Source organism: Homo sapiens, chromosome 12, assembly GCF_000001405.40.
Source record: "Homo sapiens chromosome 12, GRCh38.p14 Primary Assembly".
Classification (NCBI taxonomy): Eukaryota; Metazoa; Chordata; class Mammalia; order Primates; family Hominidae; genus Homo; species Homo sapiens.
Window position 1 is genome coordinate 103,752,724 of NC_000012.12, and position 27,270 is coordinate 103,779,993.

The 27,270-nt window shown below is 46.4% G+C and overlaps 2 protein-coding genes across 16 annotated transcripts in view, besides 2 other annotated features; one reads left to right on the plus strand and one right to left on the minus strand.

The window, feature by feature from the left end:
• The window catches only part of STAB2 (stabilin 2), a 179,447-nt gene extending 165,451 nt beyond the window's left edge, over nucleotides 1–13,996 (plus strand). For 4 of the 8 annotated variants that reach the window (NM_017564.10, XM_011538539.3, XM_011538541.2 and 1 more), the window contains 9 exons: nucleotides 497–630; nucleotides 2,579–2,744; nucleotides 2,889–2,995; nucleotides 5,447–5,566; nucleotides 6,410–6,550; nucleotides 8,577–8,687; nucleotides 9,551–9,679; nucleotides 10,769–10,885; nucleotides 13,563–13,996. In NM_017564.10, the coding sequence (NP_060034.9) occupies nucleotides 497–630; nucleotides 2,579–2,744; nucleotides 2,889–2,995; nucleotides 5,447–5,566; nucleotides 6,410–6,550; nucleotides 8,577–8,687; nucleotides 9,551–9,679; nucleotides 10,769–10,885; nucleotides 13,563–13,613 (1,076 nt within the window). In that variant the 3' untranslated portion in view covers nucleotides 13,614–13,996. Of the gene's footprint in view, nucleotides 1–496; nucleotides 631–1,415; nucleotides 1,565–2,326; nucleotides 2,470–2,578; nucleotides 2,745–2,888; nucleotides 2,996–5,446; nucleotides 5,567–6,409; nucleotides 6,551–8,576; nucleotides 8,688–9,550; nucleotides 9,680–10,768; nucleotides 10,886–13,562 lie in introns of those variants that run through there. The other 4 variants (XR_007063104.1, XM_011538537.3, XM_011538538.4 and 1 more) reach the window with 4 other exon arrangements.
• Nucleotides 1–27,270, minus strand: part of NT5DC3 (5'-nucleotidase domain containing 3) — a 94,920-nt gene that overhangs the window by 6,409 nt on the left and 61,241 nt on the right. For 2 of the 8 annotated variants that reach the window (NM_001031701.3, XM_011538476.3), the window contains one exon: nucleotides 19,587–25,358. In NM_001031701.3, the coding sequence (NP_001026871.1) occupies nucleotides 25,106–25,358 (253 nt within the window). In that variant the 3' untranslated portion in view covers nucleotides 19,587–25,105. Of the gene's footprint in view, nucleotides 1–10,699; nucleotides 11,096–14,011; nucleotides 14,191–16,083; nucleotides 18,607–19,586; nucleotides 25,359–27,270 lie in introns of those variants that run through there. The other 6 variants (XR_007063093.1, XR_007063092.1, XR_007063091.1 and 3 more) reach the window with 6 other exon arrangements.
• Nucleotides 5,435–5,935: an enhancer, noted in NCBI's record as "H3K4me1 hESC enhancer chr12:104151936-104152436 (GRCh37/hg19 assembly coordinates)". NCBI's record gives its function as "activates a minimal SCP1, AML or CMV promoter by ChIP-STARR-seq in primed H9 embryonic stem cells {active_cell/tissue: H9 hESC(primed)}" and the evidence as "EXISTENCE:reporter gene assay evidence [ECO:0000049][PMID:30033119]".
• Nucleotides 16,774–17,283: an enhancer, noted in NCBI's record as "H3K4me1 hESC enhancer chr12:104163275-104163784 (GRCh37/hg19 assembly coordinates)". NCBI's record gives its function as "activates a minimal SCP1, AML or CMV promoter by ChIP-STARR-seq in naive H9 embryonic stem cells {active_cell/tissue: H9 hESC(naive)}" and the evidence as "EXISTENCE:reporter gene assay evidence [ECO:0000049][PMID:30033119]".

The following is a 27,270-nucleotide window of genomic DNA, read 5'->3' on the forward strand; positions in this document are numbered from 1 at the left end:
GAGAAATTTTATAATTTTGGGATATAATTATGATTTAATGTTGTTTTAAAAAGATTTATGAAAACTACATCGGCAGTATGCTACCACATTTAGAGTATATATAACATGAATAAATAGGAAAGAAGATTGAAAGAATGTCAAATTATATCAAATTAAAAATTTACCAAAAAATAAAGTAAAATTCTAGAAGGAAATGCACCAAAATGTTAGCCATGGAGTAATGATTATTTCTGGAGAATAGAATTGTAGGTGGTTTTTGCTTATGTTTTTACTTTTCTGTATTGCCCTAATTTCTACAATGAACATATGCTAGTTTTATAGTTAGAAAAGAAATATTTTAAATGATGTACTTCAACATAACTTGAAGGGAAAGTGGCTTCTGGAGACACCCTGGGGTATAGCTGGCCTTCATTTTGAAAGTCCTTCAGAGTCCATTGTTGGAAACACTGCCAACCTGGTGGGCTGACCTGGGCGATTCCTCCTCTTCCTCATCCAGATACCACTGTTGGGGTGTTCCATCTACGCTCCCCACTGGGCCAGTATAAGCTGACCTTTGACAAAGCCAGAGAGGCCTGTGCCAACGAAGCTGCGACCATGGCAACCTACAACCAGCTCTCCTATGCCCAGAAGGTGGGTCTTCAGTTAGCAGATTCTGTGCAGACAGAGTCTGCAGGGGCGGAAGTGCAGCCCTTTCTTAAGATGGGGAAGACTTGAGCTGTTGCCTTCAAGCAAGGGAGTGCAGGTAGCTCCTGGAACAATGCTAACAGTCACCATGTCCATTTATTGGGCATCTATTATGTGTCAGGGACTGTGCAGGGTACTTCGTGGATATTATTGTTCATCCTTACAACATCTCTGAAGGCAGAGCAGGTGTTACTTACTATTCCCATTTTACAGATAGGGAAACTGAGGCTTAGAAAGTTTAAGTACAGTGCCTGATGTCACCCAGCCAAGAGGTGGCAGATCCAATATTTAAGGGTAGACCTGACTCTTAAAAGTCTATTTCAACCATGACATTCAACTGCCAAGGCAGAAGTGGAGACTGGAAGTGCATCCCTCACAGCTGGAAACCAGAAAGACAGCAATACCCACGAGCCTAGGGTGGATCTCCCCGAACCCACAAAACAGTGGAGTTTCCCTGGAATAGCTGGGGCTCTCTCTGGCTGGAGGGACTGTGAAAAGAAAAAAGAGACTGCACAAGCTTTCAGATATGGCAGGAAGGAAACGGAGCTCTTTGATCAGGTGCTGCTCTCTTAACCTCTAAAACTAGAAGTCCTACCCATTTGGAAAAGCTAGCAGGTTGGAGTTCCAGGCTGGTGGTTTATCACTGGGAGCAGAGGAGATGAATGCCTAGTACGTATGATTTTAAAGCCCCTTCTCCAACCTCCATCACTAACAAATCTCTACTTTTTCAGACCTGGTATTCCTTTACCAAGGAATAAAGCCTTTGATGCCAGGACCCAGACTCAAGGAGAATCTGAATCTCTGCTCTCCTGCTTGCTGGTCATGTGGCCTTGATATCAAGCCACTAAAATCTCTGACTTACCTGGAATGTTTGTGGAAGGACTAAATGTAATATGGCACACAGTAGGAACTCAATTTTTAAGATTATTAAAAGATCTGGAATAGTAGACCACCTGGGTTTGAATGCCAGTTGCCAGCTGTGTGACTTTGAGCAAGTTACTTCTCTTTGCCTCAATTTTCTCAATTGTATAAGGATTTAAAACGTTCCCACCTCATAGGGTTGATTGAGAGTTAAAGGTGTTGACACATGAAAAACTCTTGCAAGAGAACCTGACCCCAGATAAGCTCCCAATAAGTCTTATGATGATGATGGTGGTTGTGGTGATTATGATAATGGTGGTGGTGATGATGGGGAGGATGACAATAATTATAATAACGATGAGAGCAATGATGATATTATGATGAAGAATTAGAGTTCTAGGCCAGGCGTGGTGACTCACGCCTGTAATCCCAGCACTTTGGGAGCCAGAGGCGGGTGGATCACTTGAGGTCAGGAGTTTAAGACCAGCCTGATCATGGAGAAACCCAATCTCTACTAAAATACAAAAATTAGCTGCACATGGTGGTGCACACCTGTAATCCTAGCTACCCAGGAGGTTGAGACAGGAGAATTGCTTAAACTTGGGAAATGGAGGTTGCAATGAGCCAAGATCATGCCACTGCCCTTTAGCCTGGGTGACAGAGCAAGACTCCACCTCAAAAAAAAAAAAAAAATTTGAGTTCTATCATCAGAGTTCTACCAACCCATTAGCAGAAAAATTTGCACCTAGTATCAATGGATGACAGCAAATTCTTTCTCAAGAGCAGAGAGAAGAGAAATGAGTATGAAAGACCTGGGCACCTACAAGAAAGAGAGGACACTTTTGTTCACCCAGTGGCTCAATCAATCAGTCAACATCTAATGACCACCTACTGTGTGCCAGGCACAGAGGTGCAATAGGCAAAGTGAGACTTTATGGGTTTTATGGCCTAATAGGGGAATCAGACATTAACCAAGTGATGCCACAACACATGAACTTGCAGCTGACCCATGGCCCTGTCTGTATCCCTGCAGGCCAAGTACCACCTGTGCTCAGCAGGCTGGCTGGAGACCGGGCGGGTTGCCTACCCCACAGCCTTCGCCTCCCAGAACTGTGGCTCTGGTGTGGTTGGGATAGTGGACTATGGACCTAGACCCAACAAGAGTGAAATGTGGGATGTCTTCTGCTATCGGATGAAAGGTAACCGCCCCAGCTACACTTCAGGTTCTGGGCCACACAGCTGCTGAGCAATCCTCAGCCTGGCCAGTCACTCCCCAAGCAGAAGCAGTGCAGCCCTGGCCCCTGCCTTACTTGTGTGGGACCCTGTGTGCCTCTGCCCTCCAGATGTGAACTGCACCTGCAAGGTGGGCTATGTGGGAGATGGCTTCTCATGCAGTGGGAACCTGCTGCAGGTCCTGATGTCCTTCCCCTCACTCACAAACTTCCTGACGGTATGTACCATGTCTGCTTGGTTTGCCTCAGGCAGGGAGGGGTTGCCTCAAAGCAGGTATTAGAGGGGTGAGGCCTTAAGCTGAAGGCCACAGTCACAGTTAAGAGCATGGGTGCTGGACCACCTTGCCTGAATCTAAAGCCTAGTTTTGCCACTCACTTGTAAAACCTTAAAGAAGTTACTTTCCTCTCTGGGACTCAATTTCCTCATCTATAAAATGGAGATGGTAGTAGCATCAACCATGTAGGGTCATTGTGATCATTAAATGAGTTAATAGTTGTGAAGCATTTAGACCTGTGGTCTGTACATGGAAAATTCTATGTTCTTGTGAGCTGGTATTATCATCTCTGTTTGTATGTGGAACAGTTTAAGAGCATGGTCTACACAAATGAGACACTCTTTAATCCTCTTCATGGATGTAGTTAGCTAAGCCTGCCTGGTGATCACCCAGTGAGCCAAATTAACATGGAGTCAATTTGCGTCTTGCACTGCACTTAAAGTCACGTCAATATTCTACAAGTCATATCCAGCGAAGAGAAAGCCTCATCTGGAGAAAGGTTTGGTGCTGACTGATCAAAGAACTGACCTAACAGTAATAATGACAACAACAGTAATAACAGCTAACATTTCTTGAGCATTTAAGAGGACATTTCATTCAAGCCATAGAATGTAAGTTCCATAAGGGAAAGGATTTTCTTTGCCTTGACCACCATTGTCTCCCCAAACCCTCAGATAGCAGGTGGCACATGACAGGTGCTCCATAAATACTTGTTAGAAGGACTAAATCCTCCTGCAACTGTATAAGGCCACTTCTATATCCACGTTTTAGATGAAGAAACTGAGGCTTAGCAAGGCCAAGGACACAGCCTAACTCATCAGAGCTGGGCTCAATCTCAGACTGCCTGGTTCCAGCCTCCCCCTCATGCTTTCGAGTACGGAACAAGGACAGCCTGGGCCACTGTTCCGAGTAGAATCTACAGTCAGTGACCGCAGGAGGAAAGGGCACTGAGCATGAGTATAGGGCTTGTAGGATCCATGTGGAAGTTAGACCAAGGACCCCAAAATGGAGTCTCTGTCCACAGACCAAAGATATCCATCTCACTGGTGTAAAAATCAGGACCACCATTAAATACACTAGAGATGAACACCCACACTAATCTTTCTGCTGTGTGGGAGCCTGGCTTACAACAGCATTTCAAAGAAAAGACGGTGTCAGAACAAAACATTTTCAGCAAATTACCTACCTTCTCTGGGCCTCAGTAGCCCAGAAGGAGGGAAAATATATATATATATATATATATATATATATATATAAAATATATATATTAAAGTATGTAAATATATATTTTAAAAATTATATATTTATATATATTTTGTTTGTTTGTTTTCTTAAGAGAGTCTTGTTGTGTTGCCCAGGCTGGAGTACAGTGGCATGATCTCGGCTCATGGCAGCCTCAACCTCCTGGGCTCAAGGGCTCCTCCCACCCCAGCCTCCAGAGCAGCTGGGACTACAGGCACACACCACCACACTGGCTAATTTTTTAACTTTTTGTAGAGATGGACTCTTACTATGTTGCCCAGGCTGGTCTCAAACTCCTGTGCTCAAGCTGCTCTCTCACCTCAGCCTCCCAAAGTGCTGGGATTATAGGTGTGAGCCACCACACCCAGCCTGATCAGTGAATATTTAGCACTTACCATGTGCTTGAGATATATCAGTGAACAAGCAAGCAAACAATAAATGGAACAAACACGTCAATAGTATTGAGTGCTAGAAGATGATAGATCCAGATCCTATGGAAAAAGTGGAGCAGGGCTTGGGGGGCACCCCAGGGTCCCCCTTCTGTCTGAAGTGATGGGGGAAGGCTTTGGGGAGAAAGTGACATGTAAGCAAAGTGTAAACAGGGGAGAGGGAGTGAGCCATGCAGACTTAGGGGAAGAACATTCCAGGCAGAAGGAACAGTCCAACAAAGGATGAGCAGCAGGAGCGTGCCAGGCAAGTCTGAGGAAGAGCAGGGAGGCCCCATATGGCTGGAACAGAGTGAGCAAGAGAGGACAAGCTAGGCCTGGGGTCAGAGATGCAACAGCAGCCACATGCTTTGGGCCTCGTGAGCTGTTATGAAGACTTGGACTGTTCCTCTGAGTGAAGTGGGGGGCCACTGCAGGATTTTGAGAAGACTCGAGATTTGATGCACCTTTCAAAGGGCTGCTCAAGCAGCCACGTGGAGGATGGGCTGTGACGTGGCTGTGTCTTAAACCATAGGATTCACTGAGGAAAGGAAAAGTCCTCAAACTCTCCCACGGCGCAGGCAGAAGACACAGCAAAGGAGCAGCAGGCTGAGTTGGCTCACACCATGAATATTCACAGATGGGTGATGCCCTGGGACCTTCTTCAGCCACCCAGGTCCCTGCACACCAGGGCTGGCCCCTCTGATGACTTCCTTCTTCTCCCCAGGAAGTGCTGGCCTATTCCAACAGCTCAGCTCGAGGCCGTGCATTTCTAGAACACCTGACTGACCTGTCCATCCGCGGCACCCTCTTTGTGCCACAGAACAGTGGGCTGGGGGAGAATGAGGTGAGTTGAGTCCCTGGTGCCTTTGCTTTAGACTAGCATGTTATCTATCACCACAACAATGCTGTGTCACAAATTACCTGAAAACTCAGTGGCTACACATTTATTTAGCTCACAGATCATCTGCAGATCAGTTGGCCACTCCCTTGGTCTTGGCACACTCGGGTCTGAGACCAGCTGTCAGCTGCTCTAGCTGGGCCATCAATGGCTCTGCTCCATGGAACTCTCATCGTCCAACAGGCTAGCCCAGGCGAGTTCTCAGGGCAATGGCAGGGAGTGAGAGAGGCGAGAGTAGGCCCTGTCCCAACAGTGCTTTCTCAAGCCTCTGTTTGGTCACATTTGCTAATGTGCCCCTGGCCTGATAGGTCACATGACTGAGCCCAAAGTCAGCATGGGGGGCAAAGGGCCAGGGGTGCAGGGAGTGGGGAAGAACCAGGGCCACTGATGCAATCTGTGTTCCACACCAACCTTCTTCATATCACGGCACACAGAGGATTGGCGGTATTTATTCAATTCACGCACAGGTGGCTGACCTGAGGCTCCGACAGCCCCACCAGCCACCTGAGGGCTGAGGAAAGCAATACCTCTGCCTACCTCAAGACACCGCTGGAAAGCTCTGCTCTAGACAATACAAATGACATTCAATCCCCCATCCTAGCTATAGGTGGCCTCTGGCAGAGCCCAGACAACCAGAAGCCTAAGAAAACCTTGACATTTCCTGATCTCCACATGGAGGCAGGAAAGCCTAGGCCATGAGAAGCAATTTTCTTCGTCATCCCCATCATTAAAAAGACAAAATATTGCTTGGCCTTTGAAGAGCATTCTGTGTTTCTCCTTTTTTCTCAGACCTTGTCTGGGCGGGACATCGAGCACCACCTCGCCAATGTCAGCATGTTTTTCTACAATGACCTTGTCAATGGCACCACCCTGCAAACGAGGCTGGGAAGCAAGCTGCTCATCACTGCCAGCCAGGACCCACTCCAACCGGTACAAAGTCTTCTGGGCTTCTTGGGGGAACGGGAGATAATGCATGCAAAGTTCCTGGCATACAGTAGGTGCTTAATAGATGGCAACTATTATGCAAACATAAACTCTAAACCTGCAGATAGGGGACGGTGTTAACTGCCCACTACAGCATACCACACTGACAATTGGGCAGCCCCTACCCCTTGGGAAATAGGGCAGCCTCAGAAGCTGGTTATGGGGAAGGATAATGAACCCATTTTAAAGCTGATTCTCCGCCTTCATTTTGGTCAGCTTGTCAGACTATTCCAGGCATTAACATGAGCTCCAAAGTCAAATGACCCCAGTATGAATCCCAGTTCTGCCACTTGCTAACTGTAAGGACTTAAACAAGTTATCCAGCTTCCCTGTGTCTCAATTTCCCCATCTGAAAAATCAGGATGATGGTGATGGTGGTGATGATGATACAGGTCATTATTTTCATGATTGTGATACAAGGGAGGGAAAACTTATTCTACCCTCTTAGGGTCTGTGGCTGGGCCTGAGAATTAAATAGACATACGATAAATAGGAGAGAAGCATACACATTTTATTTAATCTTTTATGTGAATCAAGGGAACCCTCATATGGAGAATAGAGACCCAAAGAACAGTTGGGATCAAGAGCTTATTTACTTTTTAAAGAAATGATACATTTGTGGAAAATTGATCAAATAAAGAGCTTTAGGCTAAGGGCAGTAAATTGTGGCATGACTAAGAAATAGATGGTGGATATGAGTGGAAGATAAGGAGTATTTCAGTAGATTTGTTTGTACAGATCCATTTCGTCATCTACTCCCAGTCTCCAGTAAGGATGTTCTTCTCTTCTGGAACAGAAGGGGCACTTTCTCATGGGAAATTGTATTACCTGCTTTTAGGGAGACAGCAGGTCAGGGAACCCTTCCTGCAACTGCCGTTTCTCAAGTGACTTCTGCTCAAAATAACTAATAATGCCACAATGGTGTGTGGGGGGTGGTTTTTTGTTGTTTTTTAGACAGTCTCTCGCTCTGTCACCCAGGCTGGAGCACAGTGGCACAATCTCGGTTCACTGCAACCTCCCCCTCCTGGATTCAAGCGATCCTCCTGCCTCAGCCTCCCGCGTAGCTGGGACTACAGGTGCCCGCCACCACACTCAGCTGATTTTTGTATTTTTAATAGAGATGGGGTTTTGCCATGTTGGCCAGGCTGGTCTTGAACTCCTGGCTTCAAGTGACATGCCTGCCTCGGCCTTCCAAAGTGCTAGGATCACAGGGGTGAGCTACCATGCCCAGCCCAAAATGGTGTTATTTTGGGGTGACATGTCCTAAGCCCCTTCAGTGTGGATGATGGTGATGATACTGATGGAGATGACCGTGGGGGTAGCGGTGGAGGTGGTGATAACCATGATGTCGGATTCAGGTTCTGAGACATGCAGAGAGTAGTGCCTGACAGGTAGCAAGTGCTTAATAAATATTGGTTTTAAATATTTATCTCATTAAATGATTTCTATTTAAGAGCAGTTTAGACTAGTGTCTCTCAAAATTTAATGTGCATTTGAATCTGCTGGAGATTTGTTAAAATGAAGACGTGATTCAGCAGGGGAGAAGGCACAGGGCCTCAGCTTCTGCCCACACAAGCCAGGAAATCACACTGGGACATCACTTAAAATACAGCTTTTCTAACAGTGTGGTGCGATGTTCAGTGCATGGACGCAGCGTCCACAGGCATGGGGTTTGCTACTTCCTGGGTGATCTGGGTCAGGCCACTTTCCTTCTGATCACTCATCTGTCAGACAAGTGGGTTGGACAAATGACCCATAAGGTTCTCTGCAGCCCTCAGATCAGCTTGTTGGCACAGGACAATTAATGTGTTCTGGGCTGTCCAGAGGGTGAGGAGAAGTCCTGGGCTGCCTATCAGTGGAGACAAACCTGAAACATGGGCTCAGGGGCCTTGGGAAAATTGAACAACTTCCCTCCATGGAGGGCTGCCCACTCGGAGAGTAAAAGCCATCAACCCTCTTCTCATTTCCCTAGACGGAGACCAGGTTTGTTGATGGAAGAGCCATTCTGCAGTGGGACATCTTTGCCTCCAATGGGATCATTCATGTCATTTCCAGGCCTTTAAAAGCACCCCCTGCCCCCGTGGTGAGTATCTAGGGTCCCTGATAACGGGCCAGGAGGAGCCCCGGTGCCCACTCACCAACAGGCAAACCATTACCAGAAGCCCTGTCCTCCTCCCTCTTCCTCCAGAGACTGGAGGAGCCTCCAGCCTCCAACCTCCAAGGTAGCTGGCCAGGACCGCCCAACCCTGCTTCCTGCCATCCCCACTCCCAAGCATTAGCAACACAGCACCAGTCACCATTAATATCTGTTGAATGAAAGGGGGAGGATGGGCCACCAAAGGAAGCGCTGGAAGGGGAGTGAGAAATCCTAAGCTATGGTTTGGCCCCTCCACTTCGTAGCATCTCTGAGTCCCAATTTTCTCATCTGCAAAATGGGGCTCATAATGCCTCCCTCCTGGGTTTTGGGAAGGATTGTAAGTTAGAAATGGAAAACACTTAGAACAGCCCCTGACACACAGTACATGCTATATAAAAGTTGGTGATGGTGGTTGTTAGTATTCTTTTTTGCAAAAGCATGAGGGGAGAGGTGAGCTGCTGGAGAGTTCCACAGCATAGTGGTTAAGCACAGAAGCTCCAAAGCCAGACTGGGTTCAAAGCCCACTTCCACCACTGACTGGCTGTGTGATATCGGGCAAGTGCTTCACCTCTCTGTGCCCCAGTTCTCCCACAATAATAACTCTCCCTATCTCTTTGGGTTATTATCACACTTCAATGGGTTATTTCACAGAAGGGTATTAGACCCTGGCAGTAATAAGGGCCAGATACATGTTAACATGTCAGTATTTTTATCCCCACTGGCTCCAGAATGCCTCGGGCCACCAAGGGTTCCCCTTTTGGGGAGTCAGAAGTTTTAAGAATGGGCCCCTTTCCTTTCTTTGTGTTCAGACCTTGACCCACACTGGCTTGGGAGCAGGGATCTTCTTTGCCATCATCCTGGTGACTGGGGCTGTTGCCTTGGCTGCTTACTCCTACTTTCGGATAAACCGGAGAACAATCGGCTTCCAGCATTTTGAGGTAAGAGAGAAAAATGGGAACATGATGATGGGGTCCTCTCCAAAAACCCAGTCCCTGGACCTGGGCTGCTTCAGTCGGTGGCTGCGCCAGAGTCCTCACCCAGAAGCAGTGTGTCACACAGTAGCAGGGGCGGCCACCCACCCCACGCTTACTGCTGCTTGGATGGGGTCCCTGCTCTTAAGAGGAACAGCAGTGGTGGTTCCAAGCCCCTCCTTCTGGCTGAGACAGGGCTTGGCAAGGAGAGAACCCACCCTGAGCCTCTGTGCCAGGGGTTTGGCCTGGAGGCACATTCACTAGGACCTAGGAGTCTTGTTTACCTTGGAGGATTCACTGCACAAGCACACCCCATGACCTAGCTTGGGCTTCAAGACCGGCTCTGAGAACTGGGGGACAGGGCTAGGGACCCTACACAGCCAGAGGCTTTATGCTGCAGCCAGTGACACTCATTTCTATTTGAACAGTTGAGTCCACATCCCAATCAGCAGCCAGCTCTTGACTGGCTGTGTAAGAATATGGCCGGGGCAGCAGCACAGCGGTTGAGCATCTTTCCTTATGGACTTTGTCCTCCTCTCTGGCCCACCCTCTCCTCAAAACACTCCTGGTAAAGGCTGTGGTGCAGAGCCCCCAAGCAGCAGTTTGCTGCCTTCTGGCAGACAGCTTGTATATTTATAAGCTCCAGGGAAAATCTCAAAATCCCCATTTTTAGCAAAAGTGTATAGGCTGTATGACTGCATTTATATTAAGTTAAAGGATAGGCAACACCACTTCAGGGTGATGGGAGTCAGAACAGCAGTTACCCTGGGTGGCAGGCACCAGCAGGCTAAGAGCATGTGAACACATCCTGGGGTATGGAAATGCCCTATGTGCCGATTTGGTGGTGATCACAAATGGGCAGACATCGGTAAGATGTCACTGAGCTGAATCTAAAGGTTGGTAAATTTTATTATATGTGAATCATCTCTCAACAAAGTACTGTTAAAAAAGGAAAAGCTCCCAGAGGCAAAGGGTGGCTTGCTTTACCTGCCAACTTGGCTGAGACGCTCCTGCTTTGGGGATGCTCCTGGCTTTCATGCTTGTCTTTCCAAACAGTCGGAAGAGGACATTAATGTTGCAGCTCTTGGCAAGCAGCAGCCTGAGAATATCTCGAACCCCTTGTATGAGAGCACAACCTCAGCTCCCCCAGAACCTTCCTACGACCCCTTCACGGTGAGTTTGCATTCTTATCTAGGAATAGGTTCCCTTGGGGTACAGGGGAATGATGTCTTTTAGGAAATTTCAGTGGAGATCTTTGTACCAAAGAAGGTTCATTTCTAGAATGTATGTCAGGTAACAAGCCTAAAAGCCAGTTTTGCAAGCTGACTGAAGCCAGTGTGGTTGCTCAGAGTTCCTGGGTTCTCTTGGGTAGACAGCAGAATCCTTGAACAAACAGAGACAGGCGAGAACAAGAGGTTGTTATCCAAGCCCAATCTCATGACCAGGTGAGATGCCACAGTGAAAAAAAGTCTTGGGCTGAATTCTGCTGCAATCATTTATGAGGTAGCAGGTGCAAAACAAGATGGAAAAAGGATTTTTCCTTTAGATGTCCTTTTTTTTTTTTCTTTGAGATGGAGTCTCACTCTGTCACCCAGGCTGGAGTGCAGTGGCACGATCTCGGCTCATTGCAACCTCTGCCTCCCGAGTAGCTGGGATTACAGGCGCATACCACCATGCCCAGCTAACTTTGTATTGTTAATACAGACAGGGTTTCTCCATGTTGGTCAGGCTGGTCTCGAACTCCCAACCTCAGGTGATACGCCCACCTCGGCCTCCCAAAGTGCTGGGATTACAGGCGTGAGCCACTGCATCTGGCCTTAGATGTCCTTTAAACTTACTTACACTGACATTGTTGTCCAAGATTTTACTGCTTGTTGTCAGAGCTGCTGCTTTCTTGCTTTTGGAGCTACTTTTCTTTGATGAGGCCTTATAGTATATATGGGTGGGTGTTCTGCTCTGGTCTTTCAGAAGGGGACCATTTATCTCTAGAGTCAGTGATGCTTTAGCTTAGCTGGGGCCTCCACTGACATCAATCCAGGGGGACCCCTTGGCAGGGTACCCCATACATAACACATGTGGAAGTACATCCTGCCTGTAGTTTAATACCAGTTCTCGACTGAAAAAAATACATAGGAATAGAACTTAATTTTTCTTTTTATAAAAGGAGAGAAATGTTTTCTTCCACCATGTTGAAGTTTGTATAGTGTAACAGATATTATTTTTCCAAAGTAAATCAAGGTAAATATCTTGTGGTTCTTCATGCCTGTGGTAACAGATTTAATATAAATGCAATAGACTGAAAAATAACCAGATTGCAAATCATATTTTTTTAATCAAACCCATGTAAAGGCTTCTGGTTCACATTTCAAGGGTAAGTTCGGGCCGGGTGCAGTGGCTCATGCGTGTAATCCCAGCACTTTCGGAGGCCAAGGCAGGTGGATCACCTGAGGTCAAGAGTTCAAGACCAGCCTGGCCAACATGGTGAAATCCCATGTCTACTAAATTAGGCAGGAGCGGTGGTGCCTGCCTGTAATCCCAGCTACACGGGAGGCTGAGGCAACAGAATCGCTTGAACTGGGAGGCGGAGGTTGCAGTGAGCAGAGATTGCACCACTGCACTCCAGCTTGGGCAGCAGAGCAAGACTCTGTCTCAAAAAAAAAAAAAAAAAAAAAAAAAGGGAGGTGGTAAGTTCAGCTAAATTACATTTGTTAACTAAGTACTGTTATGCTGAAATCACCTTCATTTAAAAAGCAGAAACAAATGCATACATCCTCTCCAATGCACCCCATGCCTTCCCTGTTGTCTGTCCCCTTCTGAGGGCTCTATCAGCACCATGCATGAAAGATTTACCTGAGGCAGGTGAGAAAGTAGCCTAAATGCAGGATTCAGCTAAACCTACTATTCAGACTACATGGCAAAAACATTCCAGAATCCTAAGCATAAGGTACCAGCTTACAAAGTGACGTGCTACATTCTCACGCCTTTGACACTATTTTTAGTGACTCCAGACACATTTACCACCACTAGTTTTACCCATGAAAAGCCATTTCTAGCATCTATTATGCTAATTGACAAAGCCTGGGTGCCAGTCAGAGCTAAAGTCAGCAGAAGGCTTGGCATGGCCACCTCTAGAGTGTGGCCTTTTTTAGGCAGGGTCCTGGTGTGTCACGCAGGCTGGAGTGCAGCGGCACCATCAGGGCTCACTGCAAGCCTCAGGTGATCCTCCCACCTCAGCCTCCCGAGTAGCTGGGCCTACAGGCATGTGCCACCTAATTTTTGTATTTTTTGTAGAGATAAGGTTTCACCGTGTTGCTCAGGCTGATCTCGAACTCCTGAGCTCAAGTGATCCGCCTGCCTCAGCCTCCCGAAGTGCTGGGATTACAGGCGCGAGCCACCATGCCCGGCTGAGCGGGGTTTCTATTACACTCTCTCAGGCACTCAAGAGCCACCACTGGTTCAAGATGAATTTTCAAACCGAAAGGAGTTTTTATAATATTATTAGCCACCTTTTGTGAGGTGCTTATACCTTGCTAAATGTAGGCTCTAATTTAATCCTCCTACCTCCCTGTGAGGTATATTATGACCCTTTGTAGATGAAGAAACTGCAGCCGAGTTGGGATGATTTGTCTTGGGCCACCCAGCTTCAAGCAGGAGAGACTAAAACAGGTGGCCCTACCCCCAGCCCATCCTGCCTCCCAACACAAGGCAGCAGCACAAACAAACACGCCCAGCACATACGTGTTCACAGTGCTCAGGGAGAGTCATGCCTCAGACCAGTGGCCACCAGAAAGATTCAACTAGGACTCAACACACAGAATGCCCTGCCCCCTTACAACCCTCTCTTTTCCAGGACTCTGAAGAACGGCAGCTTGAGGGCAATGACCCCTTGAGGACACTGTGAGGGCCTGGACGGGAGATGCCAGCCATCACTCACTGCCACCTGGGCCATCAACTGTGAATTCTCAGCACCAGTTGCCTTTTAGGAACGTAAAGTCCTTTAAGCACTCAGAAGCCATACCTCATCTCTCTGGCTGATCTGGGGGTTGTTTCTGTGGGTGAGAGATGTGTTGCTGTGCCCACCCAGTACAGCTTCCTCCTCTGACCCTTTGGCTCTTCTTCCTTTGTACTCTTCAGCTGGCACCTGCTCCATTCTGCCCTACATGATGGGTAACTGTGATCTTTCTTCCCTGTTAGATTGTAAGCCTCCGTCTTTGTATCCCAGCCCCTAGCCCAGTGCCTGACACAGGAACTGTGCACAATAAAGGTTTATGGAACAGAAACAAAGTCAACAGAACAAACCTAGTGTTTTGGGACTGCACCAGAGGAGGAGTTGAACTCTGAAGGCAAAATCCACTTCCTGGGGCCTTTTCAATCAATCAGACACCAGCCTTATAAATTCTTCTGAATTTGGTTGTGTTTGCTTCTTTAAGAAGACATGATAATCATAATGAGATGTCACTTCACACCCACGAGGATGGCTAGAATCAAAACAGTAACACGTATTGGAAAGGATGTGGAGAAAATAGAACCCTCATACATTGCTGGTGGGAATCCAAAATAGTACAGCCACTGTAGAAAACAGTTTGGCAAAAAAATAAGTTAAACACAGAGTTACCATATGACCCAAAAATGCCACCCCTAGGTATATATCCAAGAGACAGAAATCAAGATATGTCCGTACAAAAACTTGTACATGCATCTTCACAGTAGCATTATTCATAAAAGCCAAAAAAATGGAAACAACTCGAATGTCCATCAGCTGAAAAATAAATGAAGCTGTGGTATTCCAAACAATAAAACATTTAGCCCTAAAAAATGAAGTACTGATACATGCAATAGTTCAGATGAACCTTGAAAACATTAAGAAGCCAGTCACAAAGGACCACATATCATATGATTCCATTTATATGAAATGGCTAAAATAGGCAAATTGATGATTGATAGAGACAGAAAGTAGGTTGATTGCCAGGGGAATGAGGAGTGACTGCTAATGGGTATGGGGTTTCTTTTTTGGATGATGAGGAATTCGATAGCAGTGACGGTCGTACTACCTTATGAATATACTAAGAAACACGAAATTGTACACTTTAAAACAGTGAATTTCATGGTATGCTGTTTGTTAGTTATATCTCAAAGAAGACATGATAACTAAATAATACATCATCTTTCCAAATATTACAGGTGAGCTGGCTTTGGGGTCTTTTAAATACAATTAACCTGCCAAAGAATGTTGAAGATGCCCCTCCCATTTGGACACACTGCAAGAGTGATTGATTTGCACCGAGACCCCTTCCTTCAGAAGGCAAAGGGAAACCTTGGCCTGGGTATTAGCCAGGTGTTAGGCACAGTTAAAATTAACACTTGAGGTCGGGCATGGTGGCTCATGCCTGTAATCCCAGCACTTTGGGAGGCTGAGATGGACGGATCACGAGGTCAGGAGTTCGAGACCAGCCTGACTAACATGGTGAAACCCCGTCTCTACTAAAAATACAAAAAAAAAATAATAGCTGGGCATGGTAGCACGGACCTGTAATTCCAGCTACTCACAAGGCTGAGGCAAGAGAATAGCTTGAACCCAGGAGGCAGAGGTTGCAGTGAGCTGAGATCACACCACTGCACTCCAGCCTGGGCAACAGAGCAAGACTCCTTCTCAAAAAAAAAAAAAAAAAAAAAATTTAACACTTGGGATACTACAGCCCATTAAAAAGTTTGAAAATGGCCAGGTGCAGTGGCTCATGCCTATAATCCCAGCACTCTGGGAGGCCCAGGCAGGTGAATCACCTGAGATCAGGAGTTCAAGACCAGCCTGGCCGACATGGTGAAACCCTGTCTCTACTAAAACTACAAAAATTAGCCTGGCGTGGTGGTGCACACCTGTAGTTCCAGCTACTCAGGAGGCTGAGGCAGGAGAATCGCTTGAACCTGAGAGGCGGAGGTTGCAGTGAGCCAAGATCCTGCCACTGCACTCCAGCCTGGGTGACAGAGTAAGACTCCATCCAAAAAAAGAAAGTTTGAAAAAATTGTGTTATCACAAGCAGGGTTTCATACAAACTTGGGGTAGGGAGGGGGAGGGAAAGATGGAGAGATGGGAGAGAGAGGGAGAGGGGGAGAGGGAGGGAGGCGGAGGGAGAGAGAGGGAGGGGGAGGGGGAGGGAGGGAGAGGGAAAGGGGGAGAGAGGGAGAGAGAGGGAGAGGGAGTGAGAGAGAGAGAGAGAGAGGGAAAGAGAGAGAATACCTTCTGTAGAAACACCTGAGATTTACAACCAGAAGAAACAGGTTCAACTGTAGGCTCCCTTACTTAATAGTTAAGGGAAAAACTTCAACATCACAAGTTTGTTGAGGATGAAGTATCAACTGTATGCAGGCCTTACCGTAGCAGACTGAGGACCCGAAAACACAACTCCACATTAGCTTAGACAGCACGGCAGGTTTACTGTTAGCTGTTACTGGAAGACCCAGAAGAGGGCAGCCTCAGGGTTGATTCCACTCAGAGCCTCGAAGACATCATCGAAGACCCAGTGTCTTCCCACGCTGCCCTCTGAGTGCACCTACAGCAGATTTCCTCGAGGGGATAAAGTGGCTTTGTCAGTTCCATAGAGTGTTACACTCAGGAGAGAGCCTCTCATAGGAGCTGGCTCAGAACAGTGAGGAACTTTCTTTCCTAGAAATGCCCTTCCCCCCAACACACACACACAAACTTGCCCTAGAGTCTGAAGATGCCACATTCCACTGGCACAGGCAAAGGGGATGGGGGATCACCCAGATGGGCTTAGCCTACTCAGGCCCACCCAACCAACTTCTCGCAATAACTGTGTGCCCTTGTTAGTGTTCCTGAAACTCCTGGGGCACAAATTATTTTGCACTGTAGCCTGTCACATGAGGTAATATGAGCCAATCCCCAGCAGGCCCTCAGCATGGGGTGCAGTGCACTAGTGTTGAATTACTTCCCCTTCCCACCTCTTGACAACTTGGTTCCCCACTCCTGAGCCCTGAGGCAAACACCAGCGGAAAACTCCGTCCCCAACACACGTGCCCTGCATGGAGCAGGGTCTTTGCTATGTCCAGTTCCAGAACAGCGCAGGGCACAGAGCAGGCCCTAGGCAAATGGAGCTTGGAGGAGTGCCGGGTCAGTGGGACCCATGCAGACAACTGCCCCTCTCATGGTCCAGGCTCCTTGTTACTGCCCAGCTGGTGGACCCAGGATGCAGGGTGGGAGGCTACAGCTGTTGGCCACCCCAGCTGACTGCCACTAACGCCAGAGGCGCAGCTATTCAGAAAGATATATGGACTGAGCCTCTACCCAACATCTCTTCTTGTCTTACGAGCAGGGAGGAAAAGATCACCTCACCCAACTACTTACAAAGAAATTCTGAAACATTTTTAACGACAAATGTGTTAGCTTGTTAATTGCTAGAATTACCTTAGAAGAAAAGGCATGTGAGAGGAGTGACCAGGGATGACAATTTGCCTCAACTTCCCATACCTGATATTTTTGCTGAGGAGGAAAGTAATGCGAAGGATTGGGGCAGGCAGGCTCAGCCTCTCGGCAGGACTTCCTGGAGGGGCCTGCATGGATGTGCAGCCACGAGGCAGTTTCTCTAAATCTGCAGTTCTTGACCCAGAGCACCTGCTCCTTGGCGACATGAAAAGTAATTCATAGAAAACATGGCCTATCCTCACACGATTTTTTTTAATCAGTGTAATATTCTACACTTCCATTCACTGAAAGAAAACAGTTTATAATGCATCTTTAAGGAAGTATGCTTAGATTTGCCTTTTAAAGCTATACATGTAAACCTGTCATTAAAAAATAAATGAGTGAAGAATTAGAAATGTATATATAATGTTCTATAACAGAAAGACAAAGTAACTTACAATAAAATACATACTTGGTAAAATCTCAGCTACAATTCCAATAGAAGACACAATGAAGACAATTATAATTGCTTAAAACAAATTTGGATCTTAGAAAATATTTGACTAATGAGTTTTTAAATAATTGACTTTTTTTTTTTTTGAGACAGGGTCTCACTCTGTCACCCAGACTGGATTGCAGTAGCTCAATCATGGCTCACTGAAGCCTCAACCTTCTGGGCTCAAGTGATCCTCCAGCCTCAGCCTCCCAAGTAGCTGCTGCTATAGGCACCCATCACCAAACCCAACTAATGTGGTTTATTTTTTGTAGAGATGGGGTTTCACTATGTTACCCAGGCTGGTCTCAAATTCCTGAGCTCAAGCAATCCTCCCACCTTGGCCTCCCTAAGTGCTAGGATTACAAGCATGAGCCACTGCACCTGGCTGACATTTTAAAATAAAGGTTAAGTGCTATGGTCTGAATGTTTGTGACCCCCAAAATTCCTGTGTTGAAATCTTTACCCCCAAGGTGATAACACTAGGAGGGTGGTAAGTGAGCCTGTAAGCCTTTGGGAGGTGATTAAGGGGGAGGGGCATCCTGAAAGGGATTAGTGCCCTTATAATAGAGGCCTCAGAGAGCTCCCTCAACCTATCTACCATGTAGAAGTCACCATCTGTGAACCAGGAAACAGGCCTCACCAGACACCAAATCTGCCGGCACCTTGATCTTGGACTTGCCAGCCTCCTGGGCAGTGAGAAGTAAATTTCTGTTGTTTATAAGCTAAATCAGCATATGGTATTTTGTTATAGCAGCATGAATGGACTCAGACAGTAAGTACAGTCTTACATACGTGTGTCTATATAATCTTCATGGAAATGACCAGTAGAAATGCAGACTGACACGGGTGTGATTCACGACTCAAATACCAGGAGTGGCCTCCTGTGGAGGATGTGCTCTTCTGAAATGACGAACAATTCCTTATAAAGCTCTGAATAAGATGAAGTCAAAATCTTCCTTTGGTTTACATATAGCTGCATTCCTGGAAAATTCAGTATGTTAAAATTATGTCACAAAAATTTTTTGTGGTTACCTATAAAAGAGTTTCTAGGCTTAGAAAATTATAAACATGTTTCCACCTACATGAATTGTATCACGTAGATTTATGTGTAGACAGGGGACCATGCTTCAGTGTACTGGGCTCTCCCTTACAATGCAGGGGGTCTAACATGCCTGGTCCCTGCCCTCAAAATACTAGACATCCCCTCCCCATCACTGCAAAACCCAAGCACCCTGCAACCCACCTCTCCCCACATCTCCAAATTGTCCCCAGGGGGCACTGCTGGCCAAGGTTGGGAATCACCACTGGGGACGGAGGGAAAGGCTGGGTTGAGCTGAGCTCAGGCTCTCCTCTCTGCTGCCTTCACTGCCCAAATAACTGCATTCCACATCGTCGGGATTTCTGCTGAGCCAAGCCCAAAGTTCTGGAAGCCCCAAGTGTCTTATAAGCTCATTCACAACTCCAGGAAAGAGAAGCAGCCCATATTTCAGGCAGAGGAGCAGGCTGTCATTTCCTCTTAGATGACATGCCAAGTTTCCAGAAAATCGCCCCCAAAAAATCAATATGGGACAGATTTGCTAGTGAGTCCACCAACACCCACCATCACAGGTACACAAAGGCAGGTGATCGAAGGGAGGAAAAAAAAGATATCCATGGGAGGAATGACAGTCTTCAAGCTCTGAAAACAAGTGGGTGTGCTTGCTGTGGGTGGGGGGAGATGGGGGTAGTGAGAAGAAACCTTTGAGCTTTCCCCAAAAAAGGTTATCCCTTCTCTCAGGGATAAACTTTTTGAAGTCCCTTAGAATTTTTTTTAATCCAAGATCTCCTTTATCTATTTTTGTAGAAATAACCTCAAGTCCTGGAAAAAAATGCCTTTTTAGAAAACGATACTGTGGATTCATCAGAATTTAACGTGGCAGACTTAAGCACACAAAATAGGTGACTGACAATAAACCAGATGATACAATTCAAACTTTTATTTGGCAATAAGTTCAGAGTCACATAACACATAAAATCAACATTTAAAATAAATAGCAAATTCACATCTAGAATAAATAGGTCTGCCTAATTTGCATTAATTGTGCCTGATATCATACAGGCACAATCTGTCATTCCACGAGATAACTGGAAAAGTCTCCAAAGTCAGAGTTCAAACCTGCAGGACTGAAAACACACAGAAGCACTGTCGCAGGTTGGGTTCCCCGAAAGCAGATACTGAGGTGGAGAATGGCGTGCAGGAAGGTTCATAGGACAGTGCTGTGGGCTGAGCCGGCTGGGTACAGGCTTGTCAGGGAGAGGCACTGGGCTGTAATGTGGCCACAATGAGGTCTCACTGACCCCACAAGGGGCTCTGGAGCTGGGATGGCCCCAGAGGGTTTCCCAAGTTGGGGTGAGGAGGCCAGCCCTTTGTACCCCATATGGAGCCGGTAAGGGTTACAGGCAGGAAGGGGGTATGATCTGGGGCAGGCAGGGCTCTTCAGCAGGGGAAACTCCTCATAAGGGCTGGAAGTAAATGGCCAGCCAGCAGCACTCCCAGCTGTTAGGGGAGTATGTCCTTCAGTCTGGAAAGGTCATCCGGGCAGCTGAGCTCAGCACCCAGCACTAGCACAATTACAAACTAATGCAATGAGAGGTATATTCAACAAGTGTCTGAGCCTGATGGCTCAAGTACACACACTGGCCATACATGTAACTATGCCCAGGAAGTAGCTCAGAGGGAATACAGTGCACTTATTACCTACAGAACTTTCTCCTCTCTGCATCCCAGCTATAAGGTTATTCATCTGCATGTTCTCAGCAAGGGAATCTTGCCATTGCCGCCAACACAATCCATTAGAGCAGGGGCTAGCAAGCCACAGCCTGAGGACCAAATACAGCCCACAGCTTGTCTTGGTAAATCAAGTTGTGCTGGAACACAGCCATGACCATGGTCATTCCCACAGTAGTAGTAGCAAAAGCAAACAGCCCAAAAAGCCAAAAATACTTCCTATCTGGCCTTTTACAGGAAAAGTTTGCTGACCCTGCATTAAGGGTACTTCATTCCCTACCCTTTCTTGAACGCACTAGCAGTGTCAAAGGTTAGCTGAACTTTGAGCTAAGCTCCTAAATGACACTAGTAGTGTCAAAGATTACTGTTACTAAATGACACTAGTAGTGTCAAAGGTTAGCTGAACTTTGAGCTAAGCTCCTAAGGCAAAAAAGAAAGAAAGAAAAACCTGGTACAAAAGAAAGTCGATATTAAGAAGGCAAAATGTAGGTTCTCTATTAGTTGAACAGAACAATCAAGGAACCCTGTGTCTGGCCAAATTTCGTCTTAGAGCATTCTAGACAAGGAGCCCCAAGTGGTCTTTGGCAGCAAATGAGCAGGCAGAAAAGTGGAATTCAGTTCCAGTATTTAGCCCAGTCTCTGCTGCTTAAAAGGCCTTTTGAGAAGAGGACAGAAGAAAAGCCACTTAGTTTGCCCAAAGCTAAATTAACTAGGACCACAAGACTACTTTTCAATTCTCCTTTGCAATAATTAAGAGTGCCAATGCATTCAAAGCAACTAGTAATTGTAGTCTGTAATATGCCCAAATCAGTAGCAAGTGGTTTATGTTACATAATATTAATGGGAATAGCAGAAAATAGTGCCGAAGGGTAAAATGTTTTAAAAAACAGACAGGCACTATGTTAGGGGGAAAGTGGGAGCTCTAAGCCAAACAACTAAAGTATTTCAAAAGCCACGTTTCACCCGTAAAAACAACACTGGAAAAAGAAAATCAGCTGTGCAAGTCCCTTCCAAAGGGACCTCCATGGGCCTTGCTGGACTGTCATATTTGTGATGGCTGCTGCCCTGGACTCATCATTGTTCACATAATTCTTAGAAAATCAGTCAAACAATATTAAACAGTAATTTTTAAATGTTCAAGCTATTTTTGTTTGCTTTACAACACAATTTTTTAAATGGCTGAAAACAGATTCATTTCCCTTGTACCAATATGCATTCATCAATGTGCACATCAGAGAACAAAACACCCAGTGCAGTGTGCCAGATCCCAGTTGAGTCATGATAGGCTGGGCACGGTGGCTCATGCCTGTAATCCCAGCACCTTGGGAGGCCAAGGCAGGTGGATTACCCAAGGTCAGGAGTTCGAGACCAGCCTGGCCAACATGGTGAAACCCCGTCTCTACTAAAAATACAAAAAAATTAGCTGGATGTGGTGGTGGGCACCTGTAATCCCAGCTACTCGGGAGGCTGAGGCAGGAGAATCACTTGAACCCAGGAGGCGGAGGTTGGAGTGAGCCAAGATCGTGCCATTGCACTCCGGCCTGGGCAAAAAGAGCAAAACTAAATCTCAAAAAAAAAAAAAAAAAAAAAGAGAAAAGAGTCATGACGAGGCCAGGCATGACAGTGGCTCACACCCAGAATCCCAGCACTTTGGAAGGCTGAGGTGGGCAGAACACTTGAGGCTAGGAGTTTGAGACCAGCCTGGCCAACATGGTGAAACCCCATCTCTATTAAAACTACAAAACTTGGCCAGGCCTGGTGGCATGTACCAGTAGTCCCAGCTACTCGGGAGGCTGAGGCACGAAAATTGCTTGAACCTGGGAGGCAAGAGGTTGCAGTGAGCCGAGATCACACCACTGCACTCCAGAATGGGCAACAGAGCGAGACCTTGCCTCAAAAAAAAAAAAAAAAAGTCATGACAGCGACAAGTTAAAATCTGTCCTGACTGAGTATATACAAGGATTAATAATAAAGTGGGATGTGCCTCCATCGTTCACATGGGAATGACTGTGTTCGGCCCCGTTACCGCCACGACATGGGTCTACAGTCTGCAAGGTACACAGTCAGTGAGCCTTGGTGGCCCAGATGTCAGGCTTCTGTCACATGGGAGATCTCAACACTGCCAAGCTCAATGGCCCAGAGACTGAAATTCTTCTAACTGGGAATTGATTACAAAACTCATTATTCATACCCAAAAATGTTTTTCTCCTTCAAAGCTTAGGTCACCTAACGTGAACACTCATGGAAACAGGTTTTAAAAATAGTTCTACTTCATTCTTGAGTAAACAAAACACCCTATAACTGGCACCTGGTAGGTAATCAATGAATATCTGATTAGATAAAAACCAAGAATTATTTTTAAGCAACACCTACTTCCTGAATCTGCTTCTCCAAAGCAGAAACTTGAAGCCAAGAACACCAGCGCATTCTTTTAGAACCCCGACACCGAGCAGTTCTGGGCGCAACACACACCCATTAAGTGTCAGCCTCCAATACACCCTGATGGCGAAAACACCTAGAAGCAAGCAAACAATAAACAAAATGCCTACCCTGTTCCAAAAAAAGAACATACTACTGTGCCTTACTGTGTTCATAACAAAATGTAGAAGATGGGGAGAAGCCTTATTGGATCTAAAGGGTCACCTTCACCATTATAGTTAAATACAGCCAAATATCACAAGTACATTCCAACTATAACAAGCAGCATTACAAAGGATGCTATATAACTCATTAAGTTTCTGCCATCTGGCAAGGAGCCCATGGAATGCCAGACTTGGATTTCATCAATAGATGGTTACATACATTTATCACAATAAAAATGTTGAATAAGCAAGCACTCTCCACAAGCTCCCCTCATGTTCCTGCCATCCTTTAGATTTAAGAATATATACAAGTTACCGCAAAAGCTTAAAATGAGTTTTAGCAATACTAGATTAGGCTAATCTGAACAGAAGTATTGATATAGCATATGCAATTAAAACAGTATTAGCAGCCCCATAACTAATAACAGCAGACATTCCCATAGCACTCAGAGAGTGCAGTAAATATGCACTTTACATTGAAGGATACTACAAATGCAGGTGCAATTAAGGATTCTTCCCTCCAACAAAAGGAATACATGCCACTTGCATTGCCCCTAGAAAGAAATGAAAAAAGCAGGCCAGGTGCGGTGGCTCACACCTGTAATCCCAGCAATTTGGGAGGCCAAGGCGGGCAGATTATCTGAGGTCGGGAGTTCGAGACCAGCCTGACCAACATGGAGAAACCCCATCTCTACTAGAAATACAAAATTAGCTGGGTGTGGTAGTGCATGCCTGTAATCCCAGCTACTTGGGAGGCTGAGGCAGGAGAATCGCTTGAACCCGGGAGGCAGAGGTTGCAGTGAGCTGAGATTGTGCCACTGCACTCCAGCCTGGGCAATAAGAGCAAAACTCCATCTCAACAAAACAAAACAGAAGGAAATGAGAAAAGCTTGGTTAGCTAGGTCATATCTATTCCTTAGCTTCAATGTCCTTCGCCCTTTCCCATCTTAGACATCTAAAAAAAAACAAAACAAAACAAAAAAAAAAAAAACAAACTACACAAACTCCCAAATAGTCGCACAAACATCACAGGAGTGAAATCTAAGAGAAGGCTGGACATGGCTAAGTTGTGGTGGCCATCTTCCTCCTCCCCTGGCCAATCCAAGCACCTCTCAGTTGGTAACTCATTAGAGAGAAGCCAGGATCTTGTTTGTTTCCATCTAGACAAAGGACTGTTTCTGGTAAATCTCATGTTTTAACAGGATTCCAATTCAACTGGGTGGGTGGCATGGCATAGCATTTCATGACAAAGATGCTTTTTCCTGGTTCATTTTCTTTCTTCCAATGAGCAGATGAAACCAACTCAGGTGGTGTTTCCAGGTTTAACAAGCTCCTGGGAGACCTACCACAAATGTTTTGGTTCTTCAAACCCACTCGTTTCTTGCAGAAGGCTCTACAGAAGGCTGTTCCACTAGCTGGCAGGTTTTGACCAGAGCTCTCATCTCCTCTCTCCTGCCCTCCTCCATGCTGGGGAAGGACGCAGGAACCACACACTGAGGACAAAAGGGTCCAGGAGTTGCAGCTTCTCTTGTTCTTTCTCACTTAAGTCCTTCCAGGGAGGCTGTGTTCTATTTGATGTGATGTGCCAGAATGTCAAAGCCTTAGTACCAAATGATTTGGGAACTGGCCATCACCTGGGGAACCTCTCTGCCACTCACAGCAGCGTTTTACCATTGTGGAGCCCACGAAATCAGCCTTCTGGAAGCAGCTAATCTTTGCCCATCACTGTGCCCCTGCAGTTCCCAATGCATAGCCCGTAAATGTTCAGGAAATGTTCCATGGAGGAGTCAAGAACCGTTTCAAGCTTGACCTGCTAGAATACAGACATGGCATCAAGTGGTCTCACCTATCCCAGGAAACCTGATGTTCCAGGACCTCAGTAAACAAAAAGGCAAAATCAGAGTTCCAATGTGAAGCTTGCCTTTCAGCCCTGCATGGGGGGAAAGGCTGGAGGGGTGGGCTGCTAGCTCCTGTCTTAACCATTGGGAGAATTATTCTCCGTAAGGTACAAAATAAATATCAAAAGGCTTATCTGTATCTTTTCCAAAAGCAACACTCAGACCCACATGAAGTCAACCCCATCATGCCTGCCCAATCAGGGGCAGTTACAGTTTCTAGTTTTTGCCCTTGGCTACTTGGCCTGGGCCTCCTGCAGGAGAGGGGTTCCGAAGGTGGGGGGCCTTTCTGACCAGGCGGGCAGTTCGTGCTGCAGTGGAGTCCTCCGGGGGTAGAAAGTGTGGCTGACGTCATAGTTCAGGAGGCAGCTCAGAGACGCCATGTAGATGTCAGCGAAGCGCGACAGGCGCCTTAGGAAGTAGGTTGGGTTCTGGTCTGTGCGGAACAGGCTTCCAAACTGGGCATTGAAGAAACTCTTGGTCATTTCTCTGAAGAGGCAATAAAAAAGCAAAGCAACAGAGAATGATTCAAAAATCCTTGTTTTTAAACTACTGAAATCAAAATCACTTCTTTTTTTAAAAAAAAAAAATAGGACTCATTTGAGAAACATGTTAGCCTAGAGCAGCCCCAAATATTAATTAAGAAAACAGCCTAGAGCCAGGTGTGGTGGCTCACATCTGTAATCCCAGCACTTGGGGAGGCCAAGGCAGGCAGATCACTTGAGGCCAGGAGTTCGAGACCAGCCTGGCCAACATGGTGAAACCCCGTCTCTATTAAAAATACAAAAATTGGCCAGGCGTGGTGGCGCACACCTGTAATCCCAGCTACACAGGAGGCTGAGGCACAAGAATCATTTGAACCAGGGAGGCAGAGGGTGCAGTAAGCAGAGATCATGCCACTGCACTCCAGCCTGGGCAACAGAGCGAAACTCCGTCTCACAAAAACAAAAACAAACAAACAAAAAAAACAGTCTGGCCTGGGCATGGCAGGTGGATCACTTGCGCCCTGGCCCACCAGCATGGGCAACATAGTGAGACCTTGTCTCTACAAAAATGCAAAAAATTTGACCAGGCATGGTGGCATATGTCTGTAGTTCCAGCTACTCAGGAGGCTGAAGTCGGAGAATCACTTGAGCCTGGGTGGTTGAGGCTGCAGTGAGCTGTGACTGTGCCACTGCACTCCAGCCTGGGTGACAGAATGAGACCCTATCTCAAAAAAAGAAAAGAAAAGAAAAGAAAACAGCCTGCCTATCCATCCATCAAAACGACTCTGGTCACATTTCCCCCTTAACTGTCTCAAGGCTCCAGATTCTTTTGCAAGCTTCTCTAAATACACACGCCCCATCTCCCAAACCTAAACACAGGATGCAACAGCTGCTCCCGATGGTACACAGAGGAATACGGAATGCTCTCAGGAGGCTCCACTTCCCTTACCGAAAGGATCAAGACCCCGTTTTACAAGGTTATTGTGAGAACTGAGTAAGGTAAGCAAAATAAAAGCATGTTGTAAACTCTCAAGTGCTCAGATGGAGGAATTAAAGATTGTTTTATGTGATGTAAATCTCCCCCAACCATTACATACTTCAATGCCTCCCAGCCTCCTCGGAAGTGAGGCTGTTCACCCCATCCAAGCCCCATAACCCCCTGCAGTCATCCTTACGGGCATGTATATCTATATCAACATCCCTATCATACAAACACAGGATGTGCACTCTCTCTGATGGCTGGGACCCTACACACAGAGTATTCCATTAAAATGAATGAATTCTATTTGACTGCTAATAAGTCATTTACAAACACAGCAAAAAATATAATCATTTACACAGCTGTGTGATAAAAGCCACTAGTTAGTTGGTAGCAGTTAGAATAAGACTCAGACAGCCAACACTCTGAGAGGGAGGAGGACAAACTAAATGCAATACAGCTTTGGCTTCTGCAGAATCTGAGGAATGGACTCACTGCCCCCTCTCCATGCCCCATCCACCCACCCACGCACACCACCACATGAACCCTGGAGTCAGGCTGCCCACTGCTGAGAGGCCAGAATCCCACAGTAACCACTGTTTCCAAAGCTCAGAGACGGCTATACCCAGCGGCTGAAGAAAGCCATGCACAAAGTCAGAAAAGTTCATGCAAGTGGTATAAAGCATCCTTCTAGGGAAGCATGATTGTCAGTATGGGTTCCCTTAAGACAGACACCCACCAAACTTTTCTTATGGCAGGCAGGCTTTCTTTATCAGTTAACATCCTGCTTACTGATTGCACATTCTTGAAATAGCTGTGGTTACAAATAAGCACCAGGGTCGTAGGAGCCCTAAGAATTCATTGAGGGTTCAGAGCCCAAATCCAGTGCTGCCCAGTAGCCACATGGTGCTGCCAGCATTATTAACAACTGGCCCAC